This window comes from Homo sapiens, chromosome 15 (assembly GCF_000001405.40).
Source record: "Homo sapiens chromosome 15, GRCh38.p14 Primary Assembly".
Lineage (NCBI taxonomy): Eukaryota > Metazoa > Chordata > Mammalia > Primates > Hominidae > Homo > Homo sapiens.
Window position 1 is genome coordinate 33,190,581 of NC_000015.10, and position 17,470 is coordinate 33,208,050.

General features: G+C 44.7%; 1 protein-coding gene and 1 long non-coding RNA gene across 11 annotated transcripts in view, besides 3 other annotated features; one reads left to right on the forward strand and one right to left on the reverse strand.

Moving 5' to 3' along the window:
* The window catches only part of FMN1 (formin 1), a 429,171-nt gene extending 425,037 nt beyond the window's left edge, over positions 1-4,134 (reverse strand). For 5 of the 9 annotated variants that reach the window (XM_047432436.1, XM_047432437.1, XM_011521505.3 and 2 more), the window contains exon 1: positions 3,329-3,346. Coding sequence is in view for 1 of the 9 variants with exons in the window: in XM_011521509.4 (XP_011519811.1) it covers positions 3,329-3,480 (152 nt within the window). In the remaining 8 variants the exon portion in view is untranslated. Of the gene's footprint in view, positions 1-1,683; positions 1,753-3,328; positions 3,481-3,997 lie in introns of those variants that run through there. The other 4 variants (XM_011521509.4, NM_001277313.2, NM_001277314.2 and 1 more) reach the window with 2 other exon arrangements.
* Positions 4,113-4,452: a silencer, noted in NCBI's record as "fragment chr15:33486894-33487233 (GRCh37/hg19 assembly coordinates)". NCBI's record gives its function as "represses an EF-1alpha promoter that drives an FKBP-Casp9 reporter gene in an ReSE screen in HepG2 liver carcinoma cells {active_cell/tissue: HepG2}" and the evidence as "EXISTENCE:reporter gene assay evidence [ECO:0000049][PMID:32094911]".
* Positions 4,227-4,436: a silencer, noted in NCBI's record as "silent region_6270". NCBI's record gives its function as "represses an Ori minimal core promoter by ATAC-STARR-seq in GM12878 lymphoblastoid cells {active_cell/tissue: GM12878}" and the evidence as "EXISTENCE:reporter gene assay evidence [ECO:0000049][PMID:35858748]".
* On the forward strand, positions 4,331-13,968 carry LOC105370759 (uncharacterized). 2 transcript variants are annotated; one of them, XR_932090.3, is made up of 3 exons: positions 4,331-4,995; positions 8,662-8,802; positions 13,602-13,968. It is a non-coding gene; the product is annotated as an uncharacterized LOC105370759 (long non-coding RNA). The 2 variants fall into 2 exon arrangements; XR_001751475.2 differs by lacking the exon at positions 13,602-13,968 and adding an exon at positions 9,273-9,415.
* Positions 11,164-11,483: an enhancer, noted in NCBI's record as "active region_9168". NCBI's record gives its function as "activates an Ori minimal core promoter by ATAC-STARR-seq in GM12878 lymphoblastoid cells {active_cell/tissue: GM12878}" and the evidence as "EXISTENCE:reporter gene assay evidence [ECO:0000049][PMID:35858748]".
* Positions 13,969-17,470: the final 3,502 nt, after the last annotated feature.

Below are 17,470 nucleotides of genomic sequence, written 5' to 3' on the forward strand. Positions count from 1 at the left end.
GGCAACTATGGCTAAAGGAGTGTTTAACAACAAGCACTGCTGTCTGACGCATTTCTAGACTACTAGTCTTCAGATCGTATCATGTTCTCTGAGCTTCTTTAACAAAAACATGAACTAGAGCACTCATACTGGAAGGCCTGTGGCAGGGGTGTGAGTACTAGTATCCTGGCAGCAGCATCATAAAGGTGTCTCCTGCCCCACTTTTACAGCCTTGTCTATCCTCCCAGTCAGCATTCTGGCGGTCCCTGCTACTTCTCCATTAATGCCCAGATCCTGATGACAAACATGAACGTTAAAAAGTCCTGGCTGGCCGGACGTGGTAACTCACGCCTGTAATCCCAGCACTTTGGAAGGCCGAGGCAGGCAGATCACAAGGTCAGGAGATCAAGACCATCCTGGCTAACACGGTGAAACCCCATCTCTACTAAAAATACAAAAAATTAGCCAGGCGTGGTGGTGGGCACCTGTAGACCCAGCTATTCAGGAGGCTGAAGCAGGAGAATGGCGTGAACCCGGGAGGCGGAGCTTGCAGTGTGTTGAGACCGTGCCACTGCACTCCAGCCTGGGCAACAGAGCGAGACTCCATCTCAAAAAAAAAAAAAAAGTCCTGGCTACCTCCAAAATATTTTGCCCAATAGCCTGTCACGTGGAAGACCACAGTAAAAAAGCGTTTCATTTGAAAGGTGTTCATCATTAGCAGTGACCTATGACACTTTAGAAGGAAGAGATAGGCATAGTTCGAATAAGATGGAACATAAAACAAGTCAGTATCAAGTTAAGGAAATAGGAGGTGTGTTGGTTAAAGAAAAAAAAACTTAACTAGTAGTCTGCTTCCTAGAGAGATGCATTACAGAGATCATGGTCATTTCAGGCCAGTGGGGAGGTAAGGATGTCCACAAGGAGGACCAACTCTCTTCTCTCTCCCTCATCCTCAAACATGCACTAAGGCAGTATTTGCTGAAAGCGTAGATAAGCACAGAAATCCAGGTTACTCTGGGAGATTGTTTACTTTTAGCCAGGGAACTTGAGAAACATAAGTGAGAGGGAATGCTCCATTTCTCAGACCCTTGCTTTTATGCGCTGACAAGGTAAAGAGGTTTGTTTCCTTCTTTACATCTCCCCGCTTTAGTAATTACTATTTTGCAGAGCATGGGGTTGATGCTTTGTCAGCACTTCAGCACAGACACTAAATACAGAGATGCTTCAGTTCCTTCACAGTGCCAGCCTGTTGGTGCAAGCTTATATTTGCTGCAGGAGAATACAATTCCCATGGTTTAGCGTCTCTGCAAGATCAGGCAAATCAGATTAACAGCTGTAATTCTGTCAACACAGGCTGGGACCTGTTGAGAATTAAGCTGATATTTAAGACAGAGACTATGTACATCTAAAAATAATAGCTACTCTTAAAACCAGGTCCCAAAAAGAGATTATGAATAGCCCCTAAACGTGGTCATACTACCAACCAGTAGCATCACTGCAAGATATGAAATATCCATTATGAACTTTTACACTGATACGAATAAAGTTTTAATAAGAAAACCATTAAAGGCAAGATCATCTAAAGCACACCACAGCTTGGGATGGTGTGCATGAATCCAAAACTTTAACGTAAAACTAGACTTTGAGGCATGGTATATGAGATAGGAGAGAAGCATTTCTCAATTTTCTATCAAGGATATTTACCATCATCACATCAAGTTCCAGTCTGTCCCCATTCCTCTTCCTCTGGGAACAGCTCCACCAATTTTATGTCTGGAAAGGGAGGATGACCAGGATATGAGACCTACCCTTAGACAATCATAGGTCCTATGGGACCCCATTCCCTTGGCCAAAGCATTTGGTCTAGGCAGGGTTAAGCCTGTGACAAAGGCTTCATCAATCACAGTCAATGCATTGAACACTCAGTGAGAAAGAAGCAGTCTAGAATAGGGCCAGAGGCCTGGAAATCTTCTCTAAAGCTGCATCTTTAACGTATCTCAACTAAGAATCGGCTAAGTACTTGTGAAGGCTGGTGAGAGAAATGCCTGTCCAAACACAGGTGGCTTCAATAGTGGCACCCCTCTAAGATGTAGTGCTATAAGGAACCTGAAGACTACCATACCCCATTTGCATCAGCTCTGACACCTAAAAAGGATAAAGACAATGGAAAAAAATGCATAATTTTTAGGAACGAGACTGGCCTTTATTATCCTTCTTGACTAGTATTATTAATAGCAGTTACTATAAATTCCCCACTTATGTGCCAGAAACTACTGAGTATTTTACCTATATTATCTCGTTTAATCCTCACACCTTCTCCTAAGAGACAGGTAGTATTATCCCTATTTTACAGACGAGAAATTAAAATTAAAGAGGCAAGCAACTTGCAAAAATCACTGAGCTAGTCAGTGGCTGGTCCAGGATTTGAACCTATGTCTGACAGGTTTATGAGTTTAGCCATTACAATATACTGTCTCACTACTCTTCTCCATTGTTTCCCTCCATTGAGGCCATTGCTTCTTTGTTCCTGCAATATGTCTAACTATTCATTGGTCCTGCTCCTGGACTGTAACACAGTTGAGAGAAAGGAGACTAGTGTTTAGATATCTGATCAAGAAGACCCGAGACCTCATTGATTCATTGTGGAAGCAACATCTTCCACAACGACAGTTAATCTGGTATGCAATTCTCAGCTATACTGTTTTCCCTCCCAAAAAAGGGTTAATAAGTCTGTGATCCAAGAGATTTGCAGTAAGCCCTAGAAACAGCTAAGCAACGGCTGTTGAATCCCATTGGTGTGCCTATAAGATGCTACCTGGTGTAGAGAACAGAATATAATTCTCTCTCCTAGGAATTTAGATGCGCCCCTCCGCCCCCCTGCCAATACACACGCAAGGGGGCATAGCAGATGATGGCACATGTCCCATATGCAAACATGAATAGTAAACATGCTTTAGTACAGCTGGAGCTACTGTAGCAGAAAGTCAGGTTGTCTGCTACTCCACCTGGTCTTCTTAAAGGATTGGGTCTGGACATTCACCTCTCAGTGACTGCCACTCCCCATATATATCACAGGTTCAGGCTCTGCATTCAGCCCATTCGGAGTGTGTGAGTGCTAACATGGAACTCTCCAGGAGACAGCAAGCAGAAATGTGGATGATTAAAATAAAGGGTTTTCTTTGGCAATCTCAATTGCAAATGAGGATAAGGAAAATCCTCCCAGCTCACACTCTGCTCCCAGCTACTTGTTCTTGAGTTAAATGAGGGCTTGGCTCTGGCCTCAGGGGGCAAGAGCACTGTTCGTTATTTGGTGGTGGGGGAGGGGGTTGGGGGATCCGTCAGCACTTACATGCCTTTAGAGAATCTGCCTTTACAGAACTTGAAGAGCTCTGATGGAGGAACAGAGATGCTGTGGTGGTAGTGGCCTTGGAGGTGGTGGTAGTGGCAATGGTGATGATGATGATGATGAAAGAAGAAGAAAACGGTGATGGTAAATGTCATCTATAAACACAAGCAAAAAGCAGCAACAGATACCTTTCTAGTCATTGCCAACCATAGTCATGAAGCTGCTTCTGTTCCCAATGCAATCCCATTGTGGTGCTCCCCCTCTGCGCTAAACACATCCAGCTTCAAAAAAAAAAAAAAAAAAAAAAAAAAGCTCTGCATCTCTCCGTCCCCCGCCCTCCCGCCCTCCCGCCCTCCACCTTTCCTGTGCCAAGCTGGGAATGAGACTGCACTGGCGGGTCAAGGGGGCTGGGACCTGAGAGTCAACGACAGGAGTTCTGTAGTGAGGAGCGTTGGGATGACCCGGAGGGCCCACCAACGTACTTGGGAGCAGCTTGGTGGGGGAGCTGGAGGAACCGACACAGAAGGGGAGGAAGATAAGCTGGCGGGGTAAATAGACTTGATGCCTCATTCCAAGAACCCTGAAAGCCACGGGGGAAGGCGGAGCAGGCAGCCTTTGGTCGGGAAGAAGAGACGGGCAGATGGCCAGCAGAACAGACAAGACTCTCTTTACCTGACCAATACTCGGGAGGCTGGTCCCGAGTCCCAGCTACTCGGGAGGCTGAGGCAGGAGGATTGCTTACGGCAACAGCCGTGGCGGCTGCAGCCTCGAAGGATGCTGCGCTCCAGTCCAGAGCCAAAGCCCAAAGGGGCAGCTGCGCCGACCTCCACCGAGGCTCCGCCCCACAGGCCACAGGCCCCGCCTTCCTAGCACGCGCCGGCCTGACGAGCTGTTTGGGGGAGGTGAGCAGTAAACTGATCGGCAGGGCTGAAGACCAGTGGAAACGTGCAGCGGCGCCCGAGGTGGCAGGGGAGGCGGGGCGGGAGGCGGCGGTGCCCAATCAGCAGCCGAGCCGTTGGGCCAGGCTGGGAAGCAGTGCTGTCTTTTGGCACCGTCTGATCCGGGCTGAGGGATTGAAGGCGGTGGTCGCTAAGCTAGGTCTAAGACGGACAGCCAGGGCGACAACCAGTCTCTCGCTACGTGTCCCCAGCTTCCCTGTTTCCGAGCGCCTCTCAAGGCGCACGCTCTGGACTTGTTCAGATGGGGGAAGGGAACTGGTCTGGAACTCCCCACTATTCCCGAGGTTCCCACGCCTCCAGATCCGGAGAGGCCGTTTCGCTCCAGTGGCCTGGCCCCCCTGCCCCCTCAGCCTAGCCGTTCTTGATCGTAAGTGCTAAAAGGAACAAAGAAGGAGAATTCAAGAATCCACACATAAGCCCAAACCCTGACAGGAGCCTTTTCCTCTCCCATCTCCTGCCTACGCTTCCTCCTAGTAGCTTTTTAACTGCTGGCGGTTAAGTTACTTTGACTGGTTTGAATTAAACGCAAAATAGGTTTAGGCTGAGAAATGGGCCAGACCCTTGGCGATCTGAGAAAGAAAGACTGAGTCCGGATGTCAAGAGGCCTGGGCCTCACGAGGGAGTTTGTCTGCTTATTTGAACACCTCAGAGTTGAAGATCTTGTTACTGCTATTTCTGTGCTGGTGAATCAGTACAGACCTTGATGCCAAGGTACTGTTTTGTCCCCAAGTGTCTAATCATTACTGAAATGAACTACCTTCAAACCTTTCCTAAGAGGATTTGAGGCCTTAATGTCGTTGAGATTTGGAATGTGATTTGAGTGACACTGAGATCTTTTCCAAGTAGGTAGGCAAGAAAAGGCATTGTCTTTAATCTGCTTTTGGATAAATGCGAACTGTATCACCCATTTGGTACTTGAAGATAGAATTTTGTCCTGAATAGATTCTGTTTTCAAATAAGTAAATGGGAAAAAAATTTGGAAGGTATTTTTAAGGTGATTTTTTTCACTATTTTTTTTCTAGAAATAATAGTTTATTGGAACTCTGATTTATTCTTAATCACAATATTAGCCAAACACTGATAGGCCCTTTATTTATTTGTTTTTTTAACACACGGTCTCACTCTGTCACCCAGGCTGGGGTGCAGTGGTGCGATCTTGGCTCACTGCAGCCTCAACCCCGTGGGCTAAAGCCATCCTCCCAACTCAGCCTCCAAAGTACCTGGGACTACAGGCGGGCACCACCATGTCCAGCTAATTTTTTAATTTTTTATTTGTAGGGACAGGGTTTCACCATATTGCCCAAGCTGGTCTCAAACTCCTAAGCTCAAGCGATCTTCCCTTCTCAGCCTCCCAAAATGCCGAGATTACAGTTGTGAAGTGCTGTGCCCGGCTCCATAGGCACTTCATATACATTATCTCCTTCAATCCTCATATCTTCCCCTTGTAAATTCCACTTATAGATAAGAAAACTGAGGTTCCCAAAGTTCAAGTAATTGTCCTTGGGTCATGTTCGTAGTTAGGAGTAGAGTCAATACGAGGTCCGTATATCTCCTGTCTAAAAATCATCATCATCAGTTAGAAGAATAAGAAGCCCTCAGTACGACTCTTAATTCCTTGATGCTTTTTTCTTTTTACCTGAAAATTGTCATATAGGGATCCAGTTTTCACACTACTGACTTCTTGAAACCGCAGCCTCAGAAGCACCTTTAAGAGTGAAGTGTCACCTCTGACATGTGTTAGGAGCAATTGCAAGTCAACTTTGCTCATAGAAGGGAGCTGTGATTTCCTATTGTTGGGAAGGAAGTAAAATTTTGCAGGGCTTAAGTCAAACTAGGTTTTAATTGATGTAGAAATCTTTTAAAGTCCACCCACAAAATAATATCATGGTCGTGTGAGCTGAGTCCTAGAAAGGTAAAAGGATGTTAATCCAAAGTCATATTCCAGCATTGTTTCAACAGTGTTCTGAAGAAATTCCTAAATCCTACTCTGGCCTTTAATCAAACCTGGAAATATGTACTTGCTCTAAGCTTGGTAGGGGGAGGGAGTAGGAGGTGTTTTAAAGAGAAAGGAGAAGAAAAATATTTTCCCAAAGAGGCTATTAATAAAGACAAAATATAAATAAGTTAAAGGTTATAGATCAATACAAAGGTATACACTAATTAACAAGTTAGTGGAGTTTTGTTTTGTTTTGTTTTGTTTTGTTTTGTTTTGTTTTGTTTGAGACAATTTCACTCTGTCACCCAGGCTGGAGTACACTGGTGTAATCTCGGCTCACTACAACCTCTGTCTCTCAGGTTCAAGTGATTCTCCTGCCTCAGCCTCCTGAGTAGCTGGGACTACAGGCATACACTACCATGCCTGGCTATTTTTTGTGTTTTTAATAGAGATGGGGTTTCACCATGTCGTCCAGGCTGGTCTCGAACTCCTGACCTCAAGCAATCTGCCCGCCTCGGCCTCCCAAAGTGCTGGGATTACAGGCGTGAGCCACCATGCCCAGCTTGTTAGTGGAGTATTTATGTGATCCTTGCTTAATAAACAGTTACTGGCCGAGAGGATTGCATGGACCCAGGAGTTTGAGACCAGACTGGGCAACACAGTGAGACCCTATCTCTACAAAAAATAAATGTTAAAAAATTAGCTGGGTGTGGTGGTGCATGCCTGTAGTCCCAGGTACTCGAGAGGCCGAGGCAGGAGGATCACTTAAGCCCTCGCACTGCAGCCTGGGTGACAGAGCTAGATCCTGTCTCAAAATAAAAAATAAAAAATGAAAAAATAAACAGCTACTAAGTGCCTAATATATGTTATTGTACTAGACTCTAGGGATATCCAGTTCAATAAAGCCCATTTCCTAATGGAAATGCACAGCCTAGCTGAGAACACTCAATCTGGACCATACCTGAAGAGATCACTTTATCAACAAAATTACTAATCTTCACAACCACCCAGCAGGGTAGGTGTTATCACCACCTCAAGGCTGAGGAAACTCGGACTAGAGAGGATAGTGACTCACTTGAGGTTGCAAGTTTAAGAAAAAGTCTTGACCCCAAATCATTCTGACCTGGAGGCCCACATTTTCTTTCTTTCCTTTTTTTTTTTTTTTTTTTTGACGGAGTCTCTGTTGTCCAGGCTGGAGTGCAGTGGCGCAGTCTCGGCTCACTGCAACCTCCGCCTCCTGGGTTCAAGCGATTCTCCTGCCTCAGCCTCCTGAGTAGCTGGGATTACAGGTGCCCTACCCAGCTAATTTTTTGTGTTTTTAGTAGAGATGGGATTTCACCATGTTGGCCAGGCTGGTCTCAAACTCCTGACCCAGTGATCTGCCCGCCTCAGCCTCCCAAAGTGCTGGGATTACAGGCATGAGCCACCAAGCCCGGCCAAGGCCCACATTTTCACAATATACCATACTGCCTGCCTAAGAGAAAAAGCTGTCTCTGATAATCCTTACCGAAATGCATTCCTCTGTGGAACATGTGAAGTAGATGATACAATGCCTATGAATTCGAAATTACTAAATTTGGTCAATTTGCTTATCAAAGGGAACCAAGAAAACGGAAATAATGGTCCTTGCCTACCTGGGGCTTAAGGTACTATTTACACATTCTCGTTTGAAGTCCCCAGGGGTAAATAGGATTTCATGGGATTCCCCATTCATTCCTGTGTTATTATATACATATATTTTAATATATATAATACATATATAATTAATTTTAATGTATATTAATACATATAATTTTCATTCAGTGTTCCTGGCTCATAACTCCCGTAGCCATTGTTGGTGTTTTTTTATAATGCTGTGTGTGTTAGGCCTCAGGGCCAGGCCTCAGGAAACAGAATCTCTCTCCTGCCCTCTCCTTATCTGCCCCAAGGCAGGACTCTAATCTTCTCCACCTTTCTGATTGTGGGTCTTAAGAACCTCCCCACAGAGAATCCCACCCTATACACTGGGGGAAGGAATGGTGACATCATGAAGCTTCCATAAAAACCCAAGAGGATGGGTTTTGGAGAGCTGAACCTGTGGAGGCTGACAGGAAGGTGAAGAAGAACTCGCATGTGCTGGGCGGATGGCACCGCTCAACTCCTGGGGACAGAAGCTCCTACGCTTGGGACCCTTGCAGACCCACACCCTATATATTTCTTCATCTGGCTGTTTATTTGTATTCTTTAAAATATCCTTCTTAATAAACCGGTAAGTGTGTTTCTGAGTTCTGTGAGCTGCTCTAGCAAATTAATCAAACCCAGAGAGGGAGTCGTGGGAACCCCAGCTTGAAGCTGGTTGGTCAGAAGTTCCGGAGGAAACCCGACTTACAACTGGTGGGTCATGGAGAGGGTGGTCTTGTGGGACTGAGTCCTCAACCTGGGGACTCTGACTCTGTCTCCAGGTACATAGTGTCAGAACTGAATTGGAGGACACCCAGCTGGTGTATACTGCTTCATGTCGGGGAGAAAAACCCCCACACCTTTGGTCACAGAAGGCTTCTGTGTTGATGTTCGTTGTGATGATGTGAGAGCAGAGGAAAAAGGTGGGTTGAGAGAGTTTTTCCCAAAGCAATCCCTACGCTGTTTTCTTTGCCCCTTAGTTCATGTTTAGTAAAATTAGTTAGTGAAGATCACACCCAAGTATGGTGGGAAGACCAGCAGAATTGAGCTCACTTGCTTATTGGAAATGCAAAATCTCAGGTTCACCCCAGACGTCCTGAATTCAAACTGCATTTTAATAAACTACCCCTAAGCGATTCCTAGGCACTAAAGTTTGAGGGCTGTTTAACCTGGGAGAAATGCATTTAATAACTCCAGCAGCTTTCTGCCCAAAGAGGCTTGCTTCCGACCCTGGACTGCACAGGAGTGGAGAAGAGGCAGAAGAGACAGGAGCAGGAGGCGGGCAGAGGGGATGGGGACATCTGCAATACACATATTCACACATAGGAGCATTACCTCCAACAGCAAGAAGTATTACTGCCCACAGATTACTAACTGTAACTTCTCTCAAAAGATTAAACCATCCCTTTACTACCAGAAGAGGAGAAAGAGAGGCTTAAGCCAGGCTTTGCCCTAGATGTATCCTATAATATAGCTGAAGCTTCCCAGTCCTGCTGCTATGACCTACAGTCAATGAAAGCCCCAGAGGTCATAGTTCAACCAGTAAGTGCTTCCTTTTAAAGAACAAGATGTATAGGTCTTTCCAGCATTAAACTGCAAGTCAAATGCCACTTCCTCCGTGAAGCCTTCCCTCATTCCCTTTCAGTTCATTTCCAGTTCTGTGCTTCTGTAGCATGTTGTTTGTACTTCTCTTACCCCATTGCCCCCATAAAGGGCTGCAGACATATTTGCTTTCTACCCTGGATTCAAAGCAACTTGAAGGAAAGAATTGTCTGAGGTTTACCTTTTCATTCCCCCTAATACCTTGCATATAAGGAGTGATCTACTTTGTTTAGTTAAATCACTGTCCCTCCCTATGGTGGGTGGATGACTTCAGTGTGTGACCTAGAAAATCAGAAGAAGTGATCAAAAAAGAAGCAGAGAAACAAGATGCAGAGAAAGAATACATTCTGGCGGCTCCATTTGAAAGGACTCCAAGCTGGGGCGAAGAAAAGACATGAGATGTGGCAGGTGACATCATCTGTGGCTTTAGGGTTTCACCTTCCCATTATGTGACCAGTCAGAAGCAAGGAGTTTCTTTTACTTAAGAGCTGATGTCAAGGAAAGGGAATTTGTTAGAACTGGCGTGTGGATGTCAGAGAGACTAGCTAAAAGCCGGAGTGAAAATGGGATTCGATACCAGGAGTGAATAGTGGGAGGATAAAAGGGGCAGTGATATGAACAGCATTCCAGAGAGCAATCCCAGGGAAATGGACTTTGCCCCCTCACAGAGACAGACCTTGCTCTCACAGGAATGAGGGCATAACAAACACTTCTAGAAAGAGCTCAACATTTCAAAATCCCACCTACTAATTATGTGGCGCAACCCAAATCACCTTAACCAATCTAGACCTCAGTTTCTCCTTCTGTCACTGAAGGGGAATGATGAAGTTATCCCAAAGCACCAGTCACAGGACCACTGATGTTAATGTTCTTTGCTCTGAGCTAAATTTACACATGTAACATTCTCTAAAATAGATTTTGCATTTATTTCAACCCCAAGACAATCTATGAGAGGGAAGGGCCATCCGTGGAAAACGTTAAACATGAAACCAATGATTACATCCCTCTGAAATGTAGGACACAGGGAGTAAACCTAATCTCCAAGATGTTTCCACCCCATTTGCCCTGGGCTATGTAATCAGCTTTTCCTCTCAACGCCCGGATAAGTGCAACTTGCCGGCTGCCACATTTGTCCTAATATGGATGATATTCTATCGATGAATAGCTACTACTCACCCCCAAATTCCCTGAAAAATACTTAATGGCATCAAAATGGCGATCTCTGCAACAGATCCAGGGATCTCAGATACAGAAAAACAAGTGTTTGATGCTGCTACATTGTCACTCAACATGGGTTCATAACCTGGGGAAAGGTAGATCAGTCCGTGGAAAAGTCAGAACTTAAATAGCAATTAAAATCCTCATACCGCCAGAATAATACCTCTTCAGATTGAGGGACTCATTCTCTCTGATGCATCATCCATACTTATTTATTTCCCAGCTCATTCCAAAAAGGATTTGAAATGACAAATTATCTTTGAAACATTGCAACACGTAGGTGAACGTTGTGGAGGCTGATGAAATGTTTGCAGACTAACAGGATTTTTTTAACTTGCCTACAGAAGTCTTAAAAATATCTTAAATGCCACCTGAAGCACCATATGGAGAAATTACTCTCACTTAGCTACAACCATAATTGCCTTTATGCTGTCGTTTTGTACAAAGAAAGCAAGAACTTGAATCTGAAACTGAAACTTGAAATCACTCAGATTTTCTGAAAAGGCTTAGATTTGACTCAACAGGAAAAGTCATAATGATTATAGTTCTCTTGAATATTGGGGAGTAGAGAGGAGAAGAATGTGAGGGGTTCATGCCGAGAGATATATTCTCAGACACTGCAGCAGGACTTGTACTCAGTACAATGCTACTGACTTGTCACTAGCTGGCAAGACGGGCTTGGTGTGCCGCTTTGTCCACGGGTCATTTGCTGAGTCACAAAAGCCACCAGGCTGCATCCCTGAGGGCAGGAAACAAAGAACAGCAGGCTTCTGAGTCACCTGCTTTGTGAACAACCCAAAGGTAATGCTGAGGAAGAATCTCCCCAGAGGGGGCAGAATTTGAGACAGTGCAGCACAATCATGTTCCATAGCATGAACTAGCTGGAACCGTAGCAGTCAGAGGAATCCGAGCCAAAGGTAGCAGGCTCTGCAGAGAACAGCTGCAGCCTCCAACAGAAAGGAAAAGCTTTCCTTTCTTTTTTTTTTGAACATCTTTTTAAACAATTATACAAATTATACAAGTAAAATTTTAAACAATTCTACAAATTATACAAGTATCACATGAGCATTATAATTTGAAAAAATACTGGAAAGCACAAAGGAGAAAATAAAAATTGATTATTCATTTATGTAATCAGCAAGTATTTCTGGAGCCCCTTCTAATTATTACCAGGCCCTTTTCAAGGCACTGGGGATGGAGAGATAAGCACAAACCTGCTCTCTTTGAACTTATAGTCATGAAAGGAGGCAGATAATACAATCTCACAAAGGAGAGGATCACCATTTCCTCGGCTAAACACCACAGGGAAGGTAATGTGTCTCTAAAAGCAGATTATAAAGGAATCTAGTCTAGGCCCGGTGGCTCACGCCTGTAATTCCAGCACTTTGGGAGGCTGAGGCAGGTGGATCATCTTAGGTCAGGAGTTCGAGACTAGCCTGGCCAACATGGTGAAACCCTGCCTCTACTAAAAATACAAAAATTAGCCAGGCATGGTGGCGGGTGCCTGTAATGCCAGCTACTCAGGAGGCTGAGGCAGGGAGAATCGCTTGAACCCAGGATGCGGAGGGTGCAGTGAGCTGATATCGTGCCACTGCACTCCAGCCTGGGCAACAGAGCGAGACTCCGTCTCAAAAAATAAATAAAATTAAAATTAAAGGAATCTAGCCAGACTCAGGGGATCGGGAGAAGGGAGTAGCAGTCTGAGAAGGCTTCCTGAGGAGGTAACCCTAAACTGACATCTGAGGAATTAGTCAGAAGCGAGTTGAAGAGCCACCCAGGTAGAAAGACTATCATGCAGAAGCTCCCTGGAAGGAGGGAGCATGAGGTGTGTTGAAGAACTGAGAGAATCCAGTGTGAATAGACTAACAAGAGCTGGAAGGAAAGAAGACATAAGCCTGGAGAGGTAGACAGGAGCAGACCATCTTTAAAAGGCACTGTCAGCCTTCATCGATGTCCTTTGTACTTCAGATATTTTATTTATTTATTTTAAAGATAAGGTCTCACTCTGTCACCCAGGCTGGAGTGCAATGGTGCGATCACAGTTCACTCAAACTGAGCTCAAGTGATCCTCCTGTTTCAGCCTCCCATGTAGCTGGGAACTACCAGCTGCCACGCCCAACTAAGTTTTTAGTTTTTTGTTGAGACAGGGTCTCACTATGTTGTGCGGGCTGGTCTCAAACTCCTGGCCTGAAGTAAGCCTCCTGCCTTGGCCTCCCAAAGAGCTGGGATTACAGGTGTGAATCACTGTGTCTGGCCCCAGATATTTTACTTATGTGTATATATGAGCATATGTGTATGTGTATAAATGTGTATACATACCATATATGTATATATGTGTATACATGTCTGTATGTGCATGTATTATAGTTTAACATTGCCATCAAACTGCCAAATTTTCCTCTAGTATGTGCCAGTTTATACTCTTGCACTATATAAGAATGTCACTTTCACTTCACTTCCAGTAGCACTCATTATCTTTTTTTAAATTAAACACTTGCAGGTTTGTTTGTTTGTTTTGAGATGGAGTCTTGCTCTGTCACCCAGGCTGGAGTACAATGGGACAATCTTGGCTCACTGCAACCTCCAACTCCCGGGTTCAACTGATTCTCCTGCCTCAGCCTCCCAAGTGGCTGGGATTACAGGCGCCCACCACCATGCCTGGCTAATTTTTGTTATTTTTAGTAGAGACGGGGTTTCACCATGTTAGCCAGGCTGGTCTCAAACTCCTGACCTCAGGTGGTCAGCCCACCTCGGCCTCTCAAAGTGCTGGGATTACAGGCGTAAGCCCCTCCACCCAGCCCACATAAATTAAACATTTGATAAGCAAAAAGTGTATCATTTAAGTTTCCATTTAACAGTGAACAAATATTTATCACCCATTGTTTTCTCACTTGCTTCACAGAGAAAGCAGGAGTTTTCTTATCAGTGAAATAAGTACAATATTGCTCATGTGAGTGGAATAGTCCCACTGTTGGAAACATCTCTTGCAAAGGCTCAGCCTAGGTATGTAATGGTCCCTTATTACTCATCCCTAAATGAAGGCATTAAAATATGTGAGCAATTCATCAAATTAGTGTCAGCCATTAGCCTTAATTCAAATTAATGCATGAGATTCATTTCCTCCTGGCAAATCACATAGTACAGTGCTGAGGGAAAGAGAAAAGTCTGCTAAGACTGTTTGAGATGAGAGAAAAGGGTCAGATCTGGGCTTGACAGGAAATGGATCAATATGAAGGAGGTAATGAGTGGTGGGACCCAAACTAGGGACCTATGAGGAGGCTTCATGTCAAGGGAAAAGGGGCAACTATTGGGAAGGTGAGGCAGCAGAGAGGTGGACTGAGGTTTGACAGCCTCAACATTATGCCTAGCCAGAGCTCTGTACCTTTGCATGCATCAGGTGGAAAGACTCACTGGCCTCCCATCTATCCTTAAGTCCCTTATGCACAAATGGGTTTTTGATCACCAGAAATCAGGACTGTGATTGAGGGTGTGTGCAGGTTGCAAAGATTTATGCATAAGTCCTATGTGGTATAAATGACATCCCCTGGGACTGAAATCACACAAGAAGGCTGGCAAAAGCTGCATCTGTGAGGAGCATTGGGGAGGTGTGGAAGTGGGGCAGGGAGGTTTACCTATTTTCAGGCACTGGGACACCAGAATCTTCACAACAATGGTCAGAAGGGATTCAGCCCAGAGAACTTGCTGCAACACCACTGAAGTAGTTGTTTATTTAGCTTGAGAACTTGATGAAATGATGTCGAGAAAGACTGAAAGCACAAAGCACACCAGCATTGAGTTTGACATTCATTTTACTATCTAATCTGTATGCCACAAACCACACATACAGTATATTTCCTATGTAAATTTCCAGGTCCAGCTCACTAAAGAGGCGGGCAGAGCTATCACATGTTCTTTATTGTGGTCTTCGCAGAGGCCTCCCCTTTTGTCCTGCTCATGTTCTGTAGATGACCTTCTGTGGGTCTCAGTTCCATGTTGTAATGGCATATCCAAGTCCAGCTTCAGGGGCATGCAACCTGTGCAGTCACACGGGCCCCGAGCATAGAAGGGCTCCACACTTTGTTTAATGTTGCCATCTTGAAATTTTTTTTGAGCAAGGGGCCTCACGCTTTCATTTTATACCAGGACCCACAAATTTTGTAGTTGGTCGTAGTCCTATCTTGTTACCAAGGCTCTTGTTTCCAATATTAAAAAGTCCTAGAATATTCACAGTATAATTGTGTGGTAAGGAGAATATGTTTGAAACCAGGGTTTATGTCTTAACTTCTGCCACATCCTAACAGTGTAAGTTTTGAGATACAAGATCTCTCTAAACCTCAATTTCCTCACTTGTGCCTAACTCATAATTTGAATTTTCTTTTTTTAGAAAATATTCAGGCCGGTCAGACACAGTGGCTCATGCCTGTAATCGCAGCACTTTGGGAGGCTGAGGCAGGCAGATCATGAGGTCAGGAGTTCCAGACCAGCCTGGCCAACATGGTGAAACCCTGTCTCCACTAAAAATACAAAAAAATTAGCCGGGCATGGTGAAAGCTGCCTGTAATCCCAGCTACTTGGGAGGTTGAGGCGGGAGAATTGCTTGAACCTGGGAGGCAGAGGTTGCAGTGAGCCATGATCACGCCATTGCACTCCAGCCTGGGTGACAGAGCAAGACTCCATCTCAGAAAAAAAAAAAAGAAAAGAAAAGAAAAAAGAAAATATTCAGGCCAGGCATGGTGGCTCATGCCTGTAATCCCAGCATTTTGGGAGGCCAAGGGGAGTGGATCACCTGAGGTCAGGAGTCCGAGACCAGCCTGGCCAACATGGTGAAACCCCGTCTCTACTAAAAATACAAAAAGTTAGCCAGGCGTGGTGGCGGGCGCGTGTTATCCCAGCTACTCAGGAGGCTGAGCCAGGAGAATTGCTTGAACCCAGGAGGTGGAGATTGCAGTGAGCCGAGATTGCACCACTGCACTCCAGCCTGGACAACAAAAGCGAAACTCTGTGTCGAGAAAAAAAAAAAAATCAAAATGTGGCAAAGCACTTAGCATCTGCTTGGCACAATACGTGAAGAGACTATTAGCATATGATTATATAAATTTTACTTTTATTTTGTGCATTTATTGTGCTATTTAGTGGAGACTTTGCTCTCCTCCAACATGGTCAGTGAAATATTTGACACTAATTACCATGATAACAGTTCGTCTGATTGTGTGGCCCTTCAGACCCGCATCCCTCTCTATCTCCTTAATCTGCACACTGTTATCTGATCAGTGACTACTGAGTTCTTCCCCTTTGTGTTCCTTTCATTCAGTGTTCTGCATTGTTTTTGTGGCCATGAGAGGGCTTTTATTCTGCAACCTTAGACAGAAAGAATAACTCCCTGATTTGAATCTAGGCTAAAAATGGATTCTGAATTCTTTTTTTTTTCCAAGGTGGAGTCTCACTCTGTCACCCAGGTTGTTGTGCAGTGGCATGATCTCGGCTCACTGCAAGCTCCGCCTCCCAGGTTCAAGCGATTCTTCTGCCTCAGCCTCCTGAGTAGCTGGGACTACAGGCACGTACCACCACATCCAGCTAATATTTGTGTTTTCAGTAGAGACGGGGTTTCACCATATTGGCCAGGCTTGTCTCGAACTCCTGACCTCGTGATCCGCCCGCCTCGGCCTCCCAAAGTGCTGGGATTATAGGCGTGAGTCACCGCATCCAGCTGGATACTGAATTCTTAAGGCATTCTCACTGTTATCCACTTCACTGGCATCCCATGACAATTTTTATATAACACCATCAGGGATCAGTCCTATCCACAGCAGTGTTACTGGCTAACCAGTTCACACCCCACAATGTGTAAATCTGAACATCAGCTTCATTTAAAACATATACATGAGTGCGTGCATGCACACACAAATGCACAGATAAATGAAAATAGGTGTCAAAGGAGAACAAAAATTGACAGCCAGAACTGCTTCAGAAGTGTTCTGATGTCTACATCTCACATTGAAAAAATTAGGATGGACTGATGGATGGGCACAGGGATGGATAGATATTTGATAGAGAAAACATAGCTAAATATTTTCTACAGAAAGTAGGTAGTAAGGACACGGGTACTCATTGTATATTTTTTCTTCTTTTCTGTACATTTGAAAATTTTTATAATAAAATATTGTAGGGGGAACGGTAGCCAGTCATGTATTATTTGCTTACAGGGTCTACTAAAAATCAGGAAATGTAATAAAATCTAGATTTTTATCTCTTTTTTTTTGAGACAGAGTCTTGCTCTGTCACCCAGGCTGGAGTTCAGTAGCACGATCTTGGGTCACTGCAACTTCCACCTCCCAGGTTCAAGCGATTCTCCTGCCTCAGCCTCCCAAGTAGATAGGATCACAGGTGCCTACCACCATGCCCAGCTAATTTTTGTATTTTTTAGTACAGACAGGATTTCGCCATGTTGGCCAAGCTGGTCTTGAACTCCTGACCTCAGGTGATCCACCCACCTCAGCCTCCCCAAGTGCTGGAATTACAGACACGAGCCACTGCCTAGATTTTTATCTTTCTATAAAAAATCTAAATTCTGGCGATACTGAGTCGACATGCCAATGGATAGTTGTAGCTAAGCAGCAGCTACCTTTGCAAGCAGCATGAGCTCACCAGGTTTCCATAGTCCCTCCACTTCCTGTTATATTGCCTTATGTCCTTTCTGAGCCACTCATTTAGATTTCCCACCTGAACCCCATAGACATTTGAGTTTCAACCCCTGTAAACATACTTATGTCA